General features: G+C 38.8%; 1 protein-coding gene across 50 annotated transcripts in view; it reads right to left on the bottom strand.

Moving 5' to 3' along the window:
• Nucleotides 1-17,897, bottom strand: part of PPFIBP1 (PPFIB scaffold protein 1) — a 171,359-nt gene that overhangs the window by 5,704 nt on the left and 147,758 nt on the right. For 15 of the 50 annotated variants that reach the window (XM_017020056.3, XM_047429753.1, XM_047429754.1 and 12 more), the window contains 13 exons: nt 17,378-17,434; nt 16,034-16,094; nt 15,640-15,669; nt 13,262-13,433; nt 12,765-12,797; nt 10,222-10,372; nt 9,800-9,928; nt 8,165-8,315; nt 7,363-7,474; nt 7,158-7,246; nt 2,354-2,476; nt 1,438-1,563; nt 658-846 (listed from right to left, as the gene is read on the bottom strand). In XM_017020056.3, the coding sequence (XP_016875545.1) occupies nt 658-846; nt 1,438-1,563; nt 2,354-2,476; nt 7,158-7,246; nt 7,363-7,474; nt 8,165-8,315; nt 9,800-9,928; nt 10,222-10,372; nt 12,765-12,797; nt 13,262-13,433; nt 15,640-15,669; nt 16,034-16,094; nt 17,378-17,434 (1,423 nt within the window). Of the gene's footprint in view, nt 1-657; nt 847-1,437; nt 1,564-2,353; nt 2,477-7,157; nt 7,247-7,362; nt 7,475-8,164; nt 8,316-9,799; nt 9,929-10,221; nt 10,373-12,764; nt 13,155-13,261; nt 13,434-15,639; nt 15,670-16,033; nt 16,095-17,377; nt 17,435-17,897 lie in introns of those variants that run through there. The other 35 variants (XM_047429758.1, XM_047429760.1, XM_017020059.3 and 32 more) reach the window with 5 other exon arrangements.

The following is a 17,897-nucleotide window of genomic DNA, read 5'->3' as shown; positions in this document are numbered from 1 at the left end:
AAACGCAGGTACAGTACGTATAGATTTGACTGGTATACAACCTTCCTGGGGCGGCGGGAATGAGCAATGCAGCCTTTAGGTGGAAGTGCAGCCAACACCCGGCCCACGCATGCGCACCAACTATAGTTAAGGGAGGGTCCCACAAGCCTGGGTTGGGAACTAGGCAGGGAGAAGGCAAGGACTCAAGGCAGGAGCGGGAAAACGAGATAAAAAAGGCAGAGACTTAACACAGTGGTGAGAGCTTCAAGAAAAAACTGGACATCATAAAAACCCAATGCAGAACTCTTGGGCTCATTCTCTTTCAGCAGCCCGCTGTGCCTTGGTTTTTGGAGTGTACTGTCCCTTTAAATAAACATTGTTACTGCGACCCTGCTGTTTTCCCTGCAGGATCAGCCCCTGTACTTCTTCTTCTTTTTTTTTTATTCTTACAATAAGCTCTTTGCTCCCTATTTCCCTTCAATAAAGCTCTCTATCTGTCAACTGTCTATTGGCCAACATCTTTCTCCCAAGACAACTAAGCGCTGAGGATTCCTGCATCTGCTGGTAAGGAACCCACCCACAAAACTTAGTAAACCCCAGAAAACAGAATAACCAGGTAACCGACAAAACGTTGCCTTTGCGCCAAGCAATTATTAAACCGTATGAGCCTGAACCAACCTTCACTTTGGCAGTAGCTGTTAGAAGTACATAATCCGGCAGCTCCATGGCATCTCGCTTCTGGTGCTGTGCCTCAGCCCCAATCAGAAGGTTGAAATGAGTGGCCAAATGTCTTCGCAGCAAAGTCTTATTGGGTGGGATGTTCAATAACTGAGCCATTGTTTCTACGTTAAAACGAGGCTCTAGAACCTGTTTAAAGAAAAAAAAAAAAGCTTGTCAAAAGTCACCACAAATCATACATGTTTGTATTGTGCTTTATAATTTGCAAAGCTTTCTCTTAGGTTATCTCCAATGATCCTCTCAACAGCCCGGTGAGGTAGACACAATATGGACTTTGATCTTTAATTTACATATCTTTTCTCCATTTCTCCCAAGTTAGTGAGTGATAGAGCTGGTCCTGAAATCCAGGCTTCAGGCATCCCAATATCAGTGCTCTGCCTCTCTAGGGTGCTGTCTGTGGGAGCCACCTCCTTAAGCAACATTAACATGCAGAAATACAATCTGCATCCTTGCAGGGGTTTTCAAACATGATCATATGAGAGAAAGCAGCTACATGTTATTCAACATGAAAGAGGACAATAAAAGAGAACTGGCTTTAAATTCAATCTAGAGTTATAAGATATCAATACAAATACTCTGAAAGTAAAGGTTTACTAGAAATAGGGCAGGAGGGTTGAGTCAGATGACTTTAGGATTATGATAAGCAAAAATTGATAATATCCTACTGACTAGACTAAAGGAAGCAAAGTAAGTCAATTTTAAATTAAATCAGAGCTTTACCATGAGCCCACCATGGACACCACTGCCTCTGAGATTGGGCGCATATTCTGCCAAGTCCACGGAGCGCAGCCACTCCATCACTCGATGGTTAGTCCACTTCTGAACTTCTGATGGGGCGATGGTATTCTATGGGAACACACAACCAGGATCCTAAATATTAAATTGCATTTTCTGTCTAAAAAGTCTGCTCCATGGAGTACAGTTACTCAACAACCCACTAAATGCAAAAAGAAAGGGAAAAATTCTCTTTTAAAGAATTTCTGTCATAGTTTGAGTTTCAAGCTTTCTTATATACTAATAAAGCATTGCTTTAGGAAAGGAAGTCTTTTTTTTTTTTAAGACAGGGTCTAATTCTCTTACCCACGCTGGCGTTGCAGTGGTATAATCAGGGCTCACTGCAGCCTCCATCTCCCAGGCTCAGACGGATCCTCCTACCTCAGCCTCCTGAGTAGCTGGGACCACCAGCGTGCACCCACCATGCCTGGCTAATTTATTATTATTTTTGTAGAGACAGGGTCTTCCTATGTTGCCCAGGCTGGTCTTGATCTCCTGGGCTCAAGTGATTCTTCTGCCTTGGCCTCCCAAAGTGCTGGGATTATAGGCATTGGCCACTATACTTGGCCAGAAAAGGAAGTCTTTATAGTGATATTTATCTCTGTTGATTAGAGTCAGGAAAAAAAAATACACCCAAGAAAAGGAAGAAGCATAACTGAAAAAGAACCCTTGGCTTTAGTTACACAAGGGGAACCGTCATGGAGAGAAAAGGAAGGAATACAGAAAAAGCCTAAGAAGTAAATGAGGCTGGATTTTAAGGCTTTTCCTGCAGGCTCCAAGAAAAATGGCTCTTAGTTTCGACACATGGACAGTCCCATGCCTGGGAAGTGCATGCTTATAAACCTCAATCTTAAAACACTACCTCATCAGATGGCCGCCTCCGTAGACAGTTTGGTTCAAAGTTATTGATCCTCAGGACCTGGATGGCCCTTTTGATACTGAGATGGTGTAGCACACTTACAACCTTCAGAGACAGTAAGTCATCCTGCAAAAAAGAACAAAAGGAGGAGCTCACTGTGCTGGCCTGTAGCAGGAGGACTTTCTTAGGGAATCTCAGAAAACTGGAGTAAAAGGAGAAGAGCCCCTCAAACCAATATGCCCCAAGGTCTTGTCAGAACCCACTTTCCCATTTGGAACAAAATCTTCCCCCAAACCCCAGATTAGTATTTTTTGCCAATGAAGCTGACTTCCACCTGTTTCTCTCTCTTCCAGATGCTCTGAGATCTGTAGAACCCCAGGGCTCTGAAAAACACAGTTAGAAAAGCACTTGCTGGGTCACTACAAAAGGTGATCTGCTTTGACTTGATCTGCACATACTACAAACAGGGAATTTATTTGTTTCCTCTTTAGTTTTGAGAACTTTATCGGTGGATAAAGTACTTAGGCTTTGGATAAACTGCCCTCTCTGTTTCCTTTCAGCAGATAGTGAAGAGCGAATGATGCTCATTGGTGAACATGATCAAGAGTTGGCTTTCTTTTTTCATCTTTTTTTTTTTTGGAGAGATAGGATCTCACTATACTGCCCAGGCTATCTCAAACTCCTAGGCTCAAGCAGTCCCCCGGCCTCAGCCGCCCAAAAAGCTGGGATTACAGGCGTGAGGCACCGCTCCTAGCAAGGCTGGGTTTTCTGAACTAAGGCACATCATAATTTTGGGGAAAATCAGAACAGTGCTCTTATTATACTATTCCCTGACCTTAATAATTCTCTAGTTCTAAATTATTTTTTAGTAAGGACCTGTCTGCTATTGAATAGCTCTAGATTATTATGGTTTATCTAGCAGACATTGTGAACAATTTTGGCACAACTATAATCAATCAGTGCAAAGGTTTTGGTCAGAGTCAAGGAGAGAAGAAAAATGAAGTTATAAGTATCACATATATATATTACCAATCAACCCCTTCAAGGAAGAATTTTCACCAGTCTGTGGCTCTTGGGAATATTTTCAAATATACCAAACACACCAAAACAAATTATTTCAGAAGAAGGTGATATTGGGAGCAGTATGAAGATAAGCAACAGTCTACTTCCAAACACACCCAGAAAATAAACAAGGAAAGCATCCATTTTAGACACACCTTTCTGATAAAACACTTCTCATGAAAGAAAGAAAAAAATGTAATCTACTACAGAAATATTTAATAAAAATATTAATCAGTTTAAATCCTTGAGGCTACTAACCAGGCAAAAATTATTTCCTGAAGTTTTTCTGGAGTAATTCCTTAAAAGTAGTGTCTTAAGACATGTTAGAAAGAGTACTTATTTTAATCTAGGATTGAGACACCCATTCCAAACATTTCAGTCTGGACTCTTTTCATCTAACTAGTCTGTCAGCTTAAAAAAATATCTGAATGCACAATGTTTACAGTGTGATTAAAATGTTAATTATTTTTGAAATTCTTTATACTTCGAAGGATTTTAAAAAGAAAGTTTTATTTTATATCAAAACAGACTTTCTGAGTGATTTTCTTCCCAATTTTTTTAAAACTTTTTATTTTAAAATAATTTTAAATTTGTGGAGGAGTTGCCAAAGATAGAATAGAATTCTGTATACCTTTCACTCAGCCTCCTCTAATGTTAACATCTGACATAATCATGATTACATTCATCAAGACTAAGAAATTAATGTACAATTGACTAAATTGCAGACTTTATTCACATTTCACCAGTTTGTCCAGTAAGGTCCTTCTTCTGTTCCAGGATCTAATCCACATTAAAACACATATTTTGTGACTTAGGATTTCTGGGGTCAAATTTTCCAGGGTCATTTACTCTTTTATAGCCATTTCACAGATGCTTCTTGTGATTTTAAGCTTGAATTTGTTCACATTCTCAGGGGGAACATACTCACACTTAGAGAGGGAGGCAAATATTTACTGAATGTGTTCTAGTCATAATCGTGAGCTATTAAAAGCAGGGATCTTGAAACAGCCTGAGTTCAAACTCTCTATGACTTTCTATTGCTAACTGTGGAAACTTGGTTACCAAGTTACCCAACCTCTCGATTCCTTCCTTTATACATGTAAAAAAGTAGGGATAATAATAGTATTATAATACTATAGATACACAGAGTGTGTGTGTGTGTGTATATGGATACACACACACATATATACAAACATGCATATATGTGTATGTGTGTGTATATATATATATACATACTCTATGTATCTACAGTATTACATATGTGTGTATAATACTATGTATATACAGTATTACATAATTATATAGTATATATGTGAACAAATTCAAGCTTAAAATCACAAGCAGCGTATGTGAAATGGCTATAAAAGAGTAAATGACCCTGGAAAATTTGACCCCAGAAGTCGTAAGTCACAAAATGTGTGTTTTAATGTAGTGTCCTAGATTAGATCCTGGAACAGAAGGAGGACCTTACTGGAAAAACTGGTGAAATGTGAATAGTCTTCAGTTTAGTTGATTGTATTAACATCTACGTTAATTTCTTAATTTTGATGAATGTAATCATGATTACGTAAGATGTTAACGTTAGAGGAAGCTGAGTGAAAGGTATACAGAATTCTAGCTTTGGCAACTCCTCTGTAAATCTAAAATTATCTTAAAATAAAAAGTTTTAAAAACTTTTTAATATATATTATACACACTATAATAATATTAGTAATATTAACTAAAAGGGTTATTGAGAATCCAGTATTAATATGAGCAAAATGCTTAAAAGGATGTTTGACACATAGCAAATGTGCAACATACTACACATATTAGTATTATTTCACGCAGGTTTATGTGATGTGCTCATCAAGGTAAGGGGCTTGGGTTCAATGACAGAGAAGAAAAATCCATGAACTGAACTCCAAATTTTTTTGACATTGAGAAATGCCTACTTAAGTTGGCTGTTTAAAACTTGCTACTTACTTGAAAAAGATTATACTTAGGGTAGTTAGGTCTATAGCCTACTTCACAAAAAGCTGTTTAAATAAAAGAATTTTAGGCCGGGCACAGTGGCTCACGCCTGTAATCCCAGCACTTTGGGAGGCCGAGGCAGGTGGATCTCCTGAGGTCAGAAGTTCCAGACCAGCCTGGCCAACATGGCGAAACTCCATCTCCACCAAAAACACAAAAATTAGCCAGGAGCAGTGGTGTGCACCTGTAATCCCAGCTACTCGGGTGGCTGAGGCAGGAGAATCACTTGAACCTGGGAGGTGGAGGTTGCCATGAGCCAAGATTGTGCCACTGCGCTCCAGCCTGGGCAGCAGAGTGAGACTCTGTCTCCAAAATAAATAAATAAATAAAAGAATTTTAAGTAGAACAAGGCCAGGCTCGGTGGCTCACGCCTGTAATCCCAGCACTTTGGGAGGCCAAGGTGGGTGGATAACGAGGTCAGGAGATCGAGACCATCCTGGCTAACATGGTGAAACCCCGTCTCTATTAAAAATACAAAAAATTAGCCAGGCATGGTGGCAGGTGCCTGTAGTCCCAGCTACTTGGGAGGCTGAGGCAGGAGAATGGCATGAACCCAGGAGAGGGAGGTTGCAGTGAGCCGAGATCGCACCACTGCACTCCAGCCTGGGCGACAGAGCGAGACTCCGTCTCAAAATAAAATAAAATAAAATAAAAATAAAAATAAAAATAAATAAATAAAGAGAATTTTAAGTAGAACATTAATAGTGGTATGGAACCTAAAACAAAGTTCTCCTGGAATCCATCTTTCTCACTGCTGTAAAGCAGGGAATAGTCCTACACATTGGCTGGAGGGCTAGAAATGTACAATAATGAAGGAACCAGAGTAGAAGTCTAGCCTTCCTCCCTCCTCCTTTAACCCCAGTAACTCCTGCTGTAGCAGAACTAGGCTGAAGTGAGACGGGTGATAGGGTTTCAGGTAACAGTTGTCCAGAGTGGAAAGGAGAAGACAAGTCCTTGAAGATGTCAGGTCAAAAGGGTGGCCTCTTCCAAATGGTCATTGCACATAGAAACCCATAACTTAGAGATAGCTTGGGCTTAAAAATTCTACATTCTATTTAAAAAATATCTTTAGGCTGGGCGTGTTGACTCATGCCTATAATTCCAGCACTTTGGGAGGCCGAGGCAGGCAGGTCGCTTGAGGTCAGGAGTTTGAGACCAGCTGGCCAACATGGCGAAACTCCGTCTCTACTAAAAATACAAAAAAATTAGCTGGGTATGGTGGCGTGAGCCTGTAATCCCAGCTACTCGGGAGGCTGAGGCAGGAGAATGGCTTGAACCTGGGAGGTAGAGGTTACAGTGAGCTGAGATCACGTCATTGCACTCCAGCCTGGGTGACAGAGCGAGACTCCATCTCAAAAGAAATAATACAAAAAAAATCTTTATGAGATATAATTTGCATACCATAAAATGTACCCATTCAAAGTGTACACTTCAGTGTTTACTTTGTTGAATGTATTACATATAAAATCAACCTTCTGGAGAGCTTAGTTTAAATTAGGCTTCACTTAGCTTACATTGGGGTTTCAAATTATCCCAAGCCTGTTCAATCACAATCACCAAATGCTACAACTTCAGCCTCATGGGAAATATGCCTGCCACTCTCCTCAAGTTCAAGCAACAGCTTCAAACTCTGGTGGAATCACTGAAAACACTGTGTTTGGCTTACTCAATTCCTGTGTTTTTCAGAGAAAAAAAGTTTTCCTCCCCCAAACCCCAGGAGTGAGTCACTTACAACAGTCATGTAATGTAGCATTCGACCATCAACCCGTCCTTCATCAAACTGGGTCTTATATTGAGGGAGGCCAATGTCATCCAACCATCCTAAAAGAGAGAGGCCAGTGTTGCTACCATGCCACAAAACATCTGTTCTTGTGATTAAAAAGAAAAAGCAACTATGTATATAATTATTTCATTTTGTTAGAATAAAAACTTCTTACTAGTGACCCAGTTGAAATCCAGCTTCCCATGATTGGTTTCTTCTTCAGATCCCAGGGCTTGGAGTGCTAGCTGGAGTTTCTTTCGATGAAGTGAATGCTTGATTCCAAGTTCCTGAAACAATAAACATTGACTTTATAATTCTATCTGTATAGGCTGGGTGCCACTGGCAAAGGATGCAAATTTCTCCAAAATGAAGCTAGCATTAAAGACCCAATTCAATACTGAATTACAATCCCAACTTGGGCTAGTAAAGTGTTGTTGAACAAAAGGTCCCTGAAAAGCCAAGACCACCACAATTATCTTAGGGGTGTGTTAGGCATTCCCTAGTGACTCATTTTCTTTGTAAGCTAGGAACTGTAGCATGCATAAAAAGAATTTGACTCTTATTTTGTACAAAATATTAAATAATTTGGAAGAAATGTTAAATAATTAGACACAAATTGTAGGGTGCTTTTTTTTTTTCTTTTGCAAAGTGAAGTTAATTGCATATCTTACACTGAGAAAAACAGGCCAATGATAAAGCCAAACAATGATTTCGAGAAATATGAACTGAATTATGCTTATGTAATTCTTTTTCATTAAAATGCCCAATGGCTTAAGTGTTCCATAAGGAATCATCAAGACCAGGTCCTCCCAAGACCACCAGAAAAAAGAAGCATGAAGCAATTGAAAACCCAAACTTTTGTTTACAGAGTTTTTACTGGCTTCACTCATGGCCCTTTCTGGACTATAAAACAACCCTACATTCATACTGTTTTCTTCTCAGTATCCATTGTGTGAACAAAACAGAGAAGCAGTCACCTTCTCTAGATCTTGTTGAGAAGCCTGCAAAAGCGTTTGGCCAGATGCAATCCAGTGCTTGCCAGAATTCAGGTACGAGCCCAAGCCCTGTTCCATCAGCCAATTGCAAACCTGCTCCTTGGTCCACTTGGCAAATGGCATATCCAAGTCACTACAGGAAAATGAGTAATTGCATGAAAAATAATCCAAAGCCAATCCTGTGGCTTATCATTAGTTTTAAACAACTATACATTCAATAGACATGGAAATTCCCTGGTGATACACATTTGACCATGAAAAGCTTAATTTTTAGTATACATTGGAGGAACAACTGGTTGAAAGTTATCTTCTAAGACCACTGTCTTCATTTCAAATGAAACCACAAAAGATTTAACGTGATAGAGCAAGAACAAGTGCTACAGAAAAAGACCAAATTGGACAAACACAAGTCACTGTATCAGTTTTAACCAATGTTGTTTGAAGATTGGATTCCCAAACAGGAAACTCAGTTGGACTGAAAGAAACTTAAGTCTAATTTGAACTAACTTTAGCAGAATTATGGTTTCTTTCCATATGGTAACCAATGAGAAGAGGGCAATATGTTGTCACTGAGTGTAGGAAACAATCAAAGCAAAATTCCTGTTTTCTTTTACTTAGATACACAAATAGTGTTCTTGTTCCGGGGTGGGGGCAGGGTGCGGAGGGGAAGATGAATGGTTTTTTTTAAATAGTACAAGGAGCTCTACTGTGTTCAAAGACAACATATGGCAAATGAAACTGTTTGGTATTTGAAGAAGGCCAAAGAGAGTTTCCTCCTTGATGTAACCTATGTCCAGTGTTCCACCTGTATGGGAGGGGCTATATGTAAAGGGTTTCTAGTCAGTCTATTATACTGTTAAAAGATTTGGTATCAATGTCTTGTACTTTATGTTTGCCAACCCCACCCTCTTATGCACAGTGAGTCAATGTAGTAGTTCTAAGCCAGCCCTAAACTTTGGTTAAGAGTGTCAGAGCAGTTCTTAGAATCTTAATGGATAAAATATTATATAGTCCTGATAAATACAAGGATTCTGATAGCATTTTTGTCTTTAAGTGCTTTCATAGATTCTGTTACATGCTAATGTTTCTTGAGTAGTTATTATCTGCCAAATATTTAACACATATTAACTTATTTAACCTTCATGGTCAGCTTTTGGGGTAGGTACTAATTATGATGATGAGGAGACTGAGGCACAGGGTGTGGAAGCTGTTGCTCAAGGTCACCCAGCTGGTAGAAAGTGGTAAGGCCAGAAAGCAAATCCAAGTGGTCTGATTCTAGAACATACTCTTAACCACTATGCTATCCCATCTTTCCAAAGTTATGCTTTAGAGTACTTGTAATTACCATCTACGTAAAATTTAAGTCTGAGAGCCATTCTAACACAGATGCTGCTGACACTTTAGCTCTGGCCTCTCCCCTAGTTCGCACAGCCCTCACCTTCTGTTTGTTCATCAACCATTGACAAATTGCACGGCTCTAAAGATGATGGCCCCTTTCATTAGGCACAGCATTAAGCAATGACTTTGTTTAACCCAATGACAGTACTAATACTGCAGGACTCATGAGGCTATGATGCTTGGTAGAGATGCAAAAGTCTATCAGTTGGCTCTTCTTACCTGTTAGACTGTCCCAAGTCTCGAGACCAACCTAATCGGGGCCCCGCGGTTGCCCTTGTCCCTCCTCTTTTGAATTCAGGCTCAGACATGTCATCTGGGTTGAATGTAGTTGATTGACTTCTCCTAAGTCTAAAGAAGACAACACACATGGCCAGTATTAGACCTGAGGAGGCCTTAGACTTGTTAATCAGAACATTTTTAACTAGTGCACCTACTGGAACTAATCCTCTTTGTGTTGTTAACATAGACATTTAAATTTAAACTTTAACTAAGACCCAATGAGTTAATAAATCCCACATCACAATCCAAACTTCCTTCCATAAGAGGAATACAAAGGCCTTACAAAGTCCATACCCATGTCCAGCCACTTTTAAGCAACATGTAAGACAGGGCCCATTCCACTTGTTTACTGCTTTACTTACTTTCCAAAGAGTTTCATGATACCTCTGGATTTCTTTTTGGAATCTGGAGATGGAGGCGGTATCTGGAAGGGACTGTTCCTCTGTGAATCTTTTGGCCGAGAAGAAGCACCAGCCAGATCTAGGTGCTCTGCTGTCTCTTTTTCTGTTTCAGCTACTCCAAGAGCAGAATGCAGACAATGAATTTTAAAATATGGAATAAACATGATGTTAATCTTCTTGGTTCTAGAACTGTTAAGAATTCTTCTGTTGGTCTATAATCAGTGACTTACAAAGAGCACCTTGTAAATATTAGAAATGGAACACACATATACGTTCTGCTCCATAGTTTACTGTGTGTAAACTTAATAAAATTACAAGCCCTTTGGAGATTAAAAGAATGTGATAGGATTGCCACATTCTTTCCTTGAGTGATTTCAATTCATAATGGAATTATTCCCAATCTTTCCATAGCACGTGGTACTGTTGATTACCTGCTACATCCTTCAAAATCATCTCCTTTTGCTTCTTGACATGACCACTCTCCTACATCTGTCATCTGATAGTGTCTTTGCTGTAGCACCCCTGCTTTTTTTTCTTCCCCCATGCCACTTTAAGATTATATTCTAAATGCCCTCTAGAGGATCAGAATCTCTGGGCCTAATCTCTCTCTCTAGGCTCTGTATCTAAATGCCTGTGATATTCCCAATTCAGTGTGTCGGGACATCTGGGACTTCACAAACTCATCCAATTTCCCCGAGAGTCTTTTTCTCTCTTAAATGTTTTTTTTTTTTTTTTTTTTTTTTTGAGACAGAGTCTCACTCTGTTTCCCAGGCTGGAGTGCAGTGACATGATCTCGGCTTACTGCAACCTCCGCCTACTGGGTTCAAGCAATTCTCTGCCTCAGTGTCCCAGGTAGCTGGGATTACAGGCACCCGCCACCACACCTGGCTAATTTTTGTATTTTTAGTAGAGACAGGGTTTCACCATCTTGGCCAGGCTGGTCTTGAACTCCTGACCTCGTGATCCACCCACCTCGGCCTCCCAAAGTGCTGAGATTACAGGCGTGAGCCACCACGCCTGGCCTCGTCTCTTAAATGTTCTTATTTGATATTTGGTTAATATTAATTAATACTGTCCCTGTTACTCTAGCTCAGACTCTATGTCATTTTCCTTTTACTCCTTCTCCTTTGGCATTTACATCAAATCAGTTACCCAGTTCAAGCAATTCTTTATTTTTGAAATGTATTCCAATCTATTAAATCCTAGGCACTGAGAGAAGAATGAACTGGATATGCCTAATTTTTCTTTTGACATAAAGTAAGTGCCTGTTGATTTTACCTTAAAAGAATCACATCCACAGTTGCCACTCTCAGATCTCCAAGCATTAACTATTTCAGTTCTTTTAGCTGTCCCTTAGTGGACAATCCCATACTAGCAAACACAAGGGCTACTGTTGTCTTCAGTGTGAGATTTTATACTTTATAAAAGAAAGTAAAAGTTGTACTAAAATCACAAGAACAGTGTTTCAGCAAGATCTATGAGTTGCAGAAAGTTGATTTTTCTACAAAGCAGAGCTGTGATTATAGGTTATAATAAGCAGCATTTACCTCTTAGCATTAACAAAACAGTTCTTCTAAGAAAGATGCAAAAAAAAACTATTTGAAAATAGTTGTCTGAACAGATCAGTTTATTTTATGCATCCAGTGTTCATTCTAGACATTTATATCGATAGAGAGAGAAGTCCCGTTTGCTGGTCCATGTGAATAGATAGGTGGATATCTATACAAGGTAACAGCACCTTTTGGAAAAACCCAAAGGAACTTTCCCAATTCAAATCCTTCAACCACGATGGCTACAGGTGCCCCTGAAAATGCTGCCTAGCTTATCCTCATCTTAAAACTACCATATTTCTCTTTTTTATTTTGAGAACTTTTTTCCCCATTTGTCCCCTGCCTTACAAAGAGGAAAACTGAGCTGCCCCTCTTCTAAAATCACTTTGGGGGGTAACGCCTCAGATATCAAGTAAAGTTGCTTCTGTCATCACTAAATATTATCTCCATCTTCAAAGTAATAAAACGTCAGAAGAATGTTCCCCTAAGAGAAGTAAGCCTAAAACTATAATATTCAATGTCTTCTATAAACCTCCCTATATGGCCAAAAAAATTTCTTTTTGGAGGCTGGGGGAAATGTAAGCATGGAGAACGGACTGCAAGGACCTGGGAGTTAGTGTGTGGTAATATGCACTTCAAGGCTGAAAGAGCTGCAATGTACAATGCCAGGACATTCCTGCCCTGCACTCTGAGGGATGCTGCACACGTCTAGGTCCTCTCAAAGCTATTCACACAGTGAGTGTTACTAGTATTGGTTAAAACAGCATTTAGGCTTGGAAGCAAAGCCTCTACAGAGTCCTTTTTAGCAGAAGGTGGAAAGAACACTCCGGAATAGAGAACTACATTTTCTGATTGCTGTCAGATCGCTTTCTAGAGATCACAGATGCCAAGAGCAGGGATTAGATTGGTTTGGAGCACAGTGCTGGTGAAGGCTGGCATGCAGGGGTACAATACCTAGGGTGGGTGCACTGGCACTTCGTTTACGATCTTCAGATATCCCAACAACGCACACAATCACACGCAGCCCAATGGAGAGAACACAGAGATGACAAAATGAAATGCAGATCAGACTCCTCCTCGCCAAATACACACCGTGGAGGAGAGGCATGCGGCACACAGTGCTTCTGATGTTACACACAGGCTCAACGTCAATGTTAATTTATCCACTATCACAACAGATGGGAAACTCCATGATGAAGTCAAAGGGAATCATGATTTTAGGTCTTTCCGCTAAGTTTATACCACAGGAGAGAGCAGGGTGAGAGTCTATATATCTTCACAACACTAAATTAAATCCACGGAGGCATTTTTTGCTAAATTCCCCTAAGTCATTCACCTTCGTTTCTGAGAAAGAGAAATGAATCAATGAATGAAAGAGTAAGGGAAGGGAAGACACTGCTCTTTTCCTCCTTGTGGAAGAATTAGGGCAAAGGCATTTTGGTCATACGTACCTAAGTTTGGTGCACTTGCTGTTCTCTTGTTACTTTTGATTTTAAAAAAGCCCCGGCCAAAGGAAGATCTGACTTTTCGAGTGCCGAAGGGGTTGTCATCCATGGAGGTGTCCTGCCCTGGGGGCCTGGGAGGAAGGGTCCCAAATGGCCTGCTTTCTGCCGGAGCTCTGTCCTGAGAGGCAAATAAGAATAGTGAAACAGCTCTCAGGTGCAGCATCCTCAGCACATGCCAGGCTAACAGCAAATACTCACTCACGCCACATCCATGAGTTTATTCAAAAGAATAACTGAACTAATACATTGATCACCAATGTCAAATGCCTTATCAGAAGTTGAAAAAAAATCAATTCTGAAAGCTACTTAAGAAACAACAACAAAAGCAACAAGGAAAACATGTTCATCACTAATCTAGAATCGATATGTCTAGGGCTTTAAATATTTAGGATACAAAAATTCTTAAATTTTGTTTGCCTCATTCCTCAAAAGACATGGAGACATTACATAACCAGAATAATAGCAGCAGATTTCTGACTTTTCTAACAATTATGTCACGGATTTAGCTATAATACAGTTCATATTCTTATATTATAACTTTGTCAATAGAAGCCTAATATAATATTAATTATTCTACAAAGCAGGCATTAGTTCAAACTTCTATACCAGCAGTATAAGGAGATTCTATTCCAGTTATTTTAAATATTCTCCTCAAAGAATAAGAAAATGAAGGCACAGTGAGCAACTTTATTTTGAGCTTTTTGGTTCTTTGAATGGGCAATTAGAGCCAGCTGTAACACAGTATATTATTTTAGTATTTATACAAAGATGCTTTGCCTAGATCAATGTCATGAAGTGTTTCCCCTATGTTTTCATCTAGCAGTTTTATAGTTTCTGGTCTTATATGTAAGTTCTTAATCCATCTTGAGTTGATTTTTGTTGATTTGGTGACAGGTGAAGTCCAATTTCATTCTTCTACATATGGATATCTAATTTTCCCAGCACCATTTATTGAAGTGGGTGTCCTTTATACAAAGATACTTTTGTCTTCTTGTTTTCATTTCTCTATTCTTTCCCTCTGCTTCTTTTTTTTGCAGAAGTAGAAATAATTCTTGCCCTCTGCTTCTTTTTTTACAGAAGCAGAGAAAAGGGTGAGGGGATATAGGTATTTTAGGTGGTTATTTTACTCTATATATCTACAGCTCATAGAAACCAAAAGTTTACAGATGGCACAATTTAGTGATATTATCATCCATGGCTCAACAATGACGTCAAAATCATTTAACCATTTATTGAACTGAAAAGACAACAAGGATTTTAATTATAGCTGTCACCACTGGCTGCTTTGTCAATTCTATCCACATATGACTCAGGCACTAAGAGCCAACAGTCAAGAGACTGGATCTGGAGGTAGCCTATCAGGCTGTAATCTTCACAAGGTTAATGACAGAAAATCAGAGGACAGAACAGGCACAGTGGCTCATGCCTGTAATCCCAGTACTTTGAAAGGCAGAGGTGGGAGGATTACTTGAGCTCAGGAGTTCAAGATCAGCCTAGGCAACATGACAAGATCTCATCTGTACTTAAAAAATAAAAAATAAAAAAAAAAACAAACGAAAAAAAAAAACAGCCGAGTATGGTGGTGCACGCCTGTAATCCCAGCTACTTGAAAGGCTGAAGTGGGAAAATCACCTGAGCCCAGGAAATCGAGGCTACAGTGAGTTATAATTGCACCACTGCACTCCAGCCTGGACGACAAAGTGATACCATTTCAAAAAAAAAAAAAAAAAAAAATCAGGGGAAAGAAGAATTGAGCACATGTTGACGACATCTTTAAACATACCAAAATGTTTGCTTTAGATGGGCACCGGGTGTATAATCTAATGGTAATCTAAGAAGGGCTTTTGGGGAGGTCTAAGGAAGCTCAGTTATGGTCATTAGGAACATTAAGTAGCATGACTGAGAGACTATGGTTTTGTTTTTTAATAACTTACTGAAGTGAAATTCATAACAAAATTAACAATTTTAAAGTGCACAATTCAGTGGCATTTAGTATGTTACGATGTTGTGCAACCACCACCTCTACCTGCTTCCAAAACATTTCCATCATTCGAAAGCAAAACCCCTTACCCTTAAACAGCTTCTCCCCATTTTTCCCACCTCTTACCACTGGTAACCACCGATCTGCATTCTATTTCTATAGATTTATCTGTTCTGGATGTTTCACATAAACGGAATCATATAATATGTGAACTTTGTGTCTGGCTTCATTTAGCATAATGTTCTAGAGGTTCTGAAAGTTTTTATCTACTGGAGACATTTAAGCAATTTACATGTAATGGAAGTAGAAATATTTTTGCATTGTAATTTGGACAAAAAGTTACCTCTGAAGTCTTCTGAATAGTTTCCTTTTCCTGTTCAAAGCAATAACAATATTTAAGGTTGTTAGGGAAATCCTTTGTATAATTCTGAATTTGTCACATACAACTCCATAAGTTAAAATAATTTTATATCTACTTCTAAGCTACAAAATCTTAGTATTGTTTATTTTCCAAAATGTTTTATTAAAGTCTCCATTTTTGGTTTTACATACTATTTTCAATCCTTCATATTCATACTTCTTAATATTTACTGTTAAACCTAACATCTAATAATTTTCCACTAAAAACCACAAGCTCTTCATAAGAGTTTTATTTGCAAAAAGGGAAAAGATGAAGATCCCTAAATAGTTTTTTCTCAGGATAACAGACAAAAAAAAACAAAAAACACAGAACCCACCCCATCAGATGTCTCTTTCTTCAGATTGCCCAGGCTGCTGGACTTCTGCAGACTTGAAGTTCTAAAAATAACAGTAATAACAATTAATAATAAGTGGCTCCAGTGCCACTGTTTCTAAGTAAAACATCTTGGAAAGAAACTAAAATTGCGTGTGGGTTGAATCCTGGCAATAAAAGAAAATCTGGAATCAGGCAGTCACTTATGTGCTTCACTAAATGACAACATTTAGTTCTTTTAAAAGCAGGGGTGATTAACTGTCCTGCCAATAATTCTAACTGTTCTGCACATGTTAGAAGAGCTGGAAAAGCACTTAGGACTAGCCTTGTGATGTCAATATTCGAAAATAAAGCAGTGTTTTCCATGGACTAGTGCTGCATCCTCTGCATGTACTAGGAACTTTAAAAATACTCACGTACTATTTATATCTAATCCTTCTAATTAAAATAAAGAATGGAAGTTTCACTTTTCAATTCACAAGGGAATCACATTTCTGAGTCTGGCAAAGCAATTCATTTTATAGTTCTAATTAAAGCATAGTAGAGGAATCCCTAATGCTGCCCATAATAATTCATTTGCTATCCTAGTGAAGGCAAAGAGACACTATAAACATCCAGAGACTTTCTCTTTCACATAATTAATATTCAATTATATAGAGCTGGTGTTACTAAAAACTTGAAGGTAGAGATATGTGACCAGTTTAGAGAGAGTGACAGAGAAGTAATGTATTTGCCTCTACGAAACAGAATAATATAAATATGCACATTTACAAACTTTCAAAAGGCATTTCTTCTGTATTTAGGTGTATTGCCAGAAGTATCAACTACCAAATAAAGTAAAAGATAATAGTGAGAAAGAAAAGATCTCATTTTTGAGTACTGCTCTGAAAATAGACTTTCCTAATTTAATCCAGACTTTAACTTGGATAAACACAGATATTAGGTCAGTTCATAAAACTGAAAGTGCAAAAAAACCCATCTCAGCTTTCCAAGCATCACATCATTCCCTGTGATGCCTTCCCACTGGACTCAAAATATGTCAGTGCAAAAATGAATTAAAAGCATTGAACTTCAAATGAAAACTGATGAAGCAAGGCTAGAGACCTGCAAAACCCCGGCATGAGATCTGCAAAACCCTGGCATGAGATAATAGCAAATCAGAAATTATTTCTTTGTAAACTTACAGCTCCCCACCTTCACCCCCACCCAATTATTATAGCTACATTGATTTATTCAGTAATTTAACAGCCTCGGTCATTTGCTGTTAATATTAGTAATTGTTAGTATAACAGAACTCTCTTTCTCTAGCCTCAATCACATTTTTCACATTCAATAAAATGTAACTTACAAAAGTTTATCACACAGTTGGGTATCAACAGTGGCACCAAGGATTATGTTTCCATCACTAAAATGTAAAGAACAAAAGGTATTTATTAACTTCACGAATAAAAGACCATATATGTTCTAAGTGAACAGATAAGTCAAAAACAAAAAATTATGCAAAGGAAGCTATTTCTATTTTTTTAAATGTCCTATTTTATTTGGCCTAAAATAAGACTAGACAATCTGGGAATATGTTGGCAAAACATTCTATTTTCTTAGAGACAAACTACTGTATCCTTTTCCTGTCCCCTTCAGACCCATCCTTCAAACACACTTACAGCCCGTGACTGTGACTATTTAGTTTACAATCCTTTGACAGTTACCTATGACCTCGGATATAAAAATCCAAGTTCCCTAAACTTTTTTTTTTTTCTTTTTGAGACAGAGTCTCGCTCTGTCACCCAGGCTGGAGTAGAGTGATGTGATCTCGGCTCACTTCAGCCTCCGCTTCCTGGGCTTATGTGATTCCTGTGCCTCAGCCTCTG

Source organism: Homo sapiens, chromosome 12 (genome assembly GCF_000001405.40).
Source record: "Homo sapiens chromosome 12, GRCh38.p14 Primary Assembly".
NCBI lineage: Eukaryota > Metazoa > Chordata > Mammalia > Primates > Hominidae > Homo > Homo sapiens.
The sequence above is the reverse complement of the archived record's forward strand: the minus strand, read 5'-3'. Positions and strand labels throughout refer to the sequence as shown.